The sequence below is a fragment of the Homo sapiens genome, chromosome 4, assembly GCF_000001405.40.
Source record: "Homo sapiens chromosome 4, GRCh38.p14 Primary Assembly".
Taxonomy (NCBI): Eukaryota; Metazoa; Chordata; class Mammalia; order Primates; family Hominidae; genus Homo; species Homo sapiens.
The window spans coordinates 115,954,895-115,956,712 of record NC_000004.12 but is presented as its reverse complement, the minus strand read 5'-3'; the positions used below and the strand labels follow the sequence as shown (position 1 = coordinate 115,956,712).

Below are 1,818 nucleotides of genomic sequence, written 5' to 3'. Positions count from 1 at the left end.
AGAAGGAAAGAAATAACTATATTCAGAGCAGAGTTGAACAAAATTGAGACACATATATTCATACCAAAGATTAATGAAACCAAAAGTTGGCACTTTGAAAGGATAAACAAGATCAACAGACTGCCAGCTAGATTATCAAACGAGAGAAGATGCAACTAAGCACAATCAGTAATGGCAAAGGTGACATTGTAGCAGGACAAGCCCCAGACAAAACCTCTCAGACACCGAGTTGTAGAAGGAAGGGCTTTATTCAGCTGGGAGCATCAGCAAGCTACTGCCTTAAAATCCGAGCTCCCCGAGTGCACAATTTCTGTCCCTTTTAAGGGCTCACAACACTAAAGATTTTACATGAAAGGGTTGTGACTGAGCAATCTAGGGGATACGTGACAGGGGTTTCATGCACTGGTAGTCAGAGTGAAACAGAACAGAGCAGGGAGTTTCCCAATGTTCTTCCATACAATGCCTGAAATCTATGGGTAACATGGGGTTCTAAGTCATGAGTTGATTTTTAACTACTAGGTTTAGGCCAGGCAGGCCCAGGCCTGGTTTTGGGCCTGGAACCGGGCTGCTTGTCTTTGATTTCACTTCCTTATTTTTTTCTTAAAACAGGTACTGAGCATAAAACAATATAAAACAATATGAGAGAGTCTTTCTCTTCCCTCATTTTCCCCCTTTGAGACTCTCACTTTTTATTAGAGAGAGTTCTCACTTTTATTTTTGCTACTTATATCTTTTTGTGCAATAGATTGATAGTGATTTATATAGTACACTTGCACTGAAGCATTTTGGTGAACTAAGGTAGTGATGAAGCCTTTTATCATTTGAAGAAGTACAGGTAGCAAACAAGGGAGCAGTAAGCAGGTTTTTATTACTATTATAACTTTTATTATAAGAATTTTAAATCTTCCTAGTGCTGGAAACCATCTTCTAACATGGCTTCAGGGTTGAATCCATGCTACACTTGTACTGGCACATGTGCCAGTTTTGTCATATTTTTAACTATGTCTTTAACTACTTGCCTTTGATTATCCATGTGTAGACAATAATTAGTAAGGTTAAATTTCTTATAGACTTTTCTTTTAGCTGCTAGTAAGTAGTGGAGAGCCAATCTATTTTGATAGATAGCATTTCTTATCTGAGTTTTTTTTTTTTTTTGCCAGGCCAGAATAGTCAAGGCTTGACTGGTTTTATTAGTGATGATTTTTAAAAGAGCTTGCAACCGTATCATTCGGTTGAGCATGTAAATGGGGGTCCAGTATCCCCATGATCCGTCTTGTGTCTAAGTGGCAGGCCTATAGTAACGTATAATTTTTTTAGGGGGTCATTCATCATTTTTCCAATTAGCTATGGCTATGCTTCGTTTTCCACGGGAAGCATAGACAGGGAAACCCAGGAGTTTGCCTGTTTTTATGGGCAGTAGGAAGAAAGATGGCTTAATAGTGCCAACAACACAACTAAATGTCCACTGGTCAGGCAGCTTTGTGTAGGCTCTATGTCTACATATCCAGTATAACCCGGTGGGGGCAGTCCAGTCCCAGTGGAATTCTGGGTGGGCCCAGACAGTCTGCAATGTTGGAAATTTACTGAATGGATCTCTTTCTGTGTAATTGGAACTCCACCATGTAATTGTTTTTTTGCAGTACCATTATATAGTTTTTGCCCCAGACAACTAAGTCATCCTACAGAACGAGTGAATTCTTTTCTTTTTTTAGCTATGCAATATTGTTCAATAATTGAGACTTTTAGAAACTAAGATGATCAGGGTGATTCTTTTGGGCCGGGAATTCATCAGGAACTGGGTCTGTAGGCACTAATTCT

The 1,818-nt window shown here is 39.3% G+C and overlaps 1 annotated feature.

Moving 5' to 3' along the window:
* Positions 270–519: an enhancer, noted in NCBI's record as "active region_21843". NCBI's record gives its function as "activates an Ori minimal core promoter by ATAC-STARR-seq in GM12878 lymphoblastoid cells {active_cell/tissue: GM12878}" and the evidence as "EXISTENCE:reporter gene assay evidence [ECO:0000049][PMID:35858748]".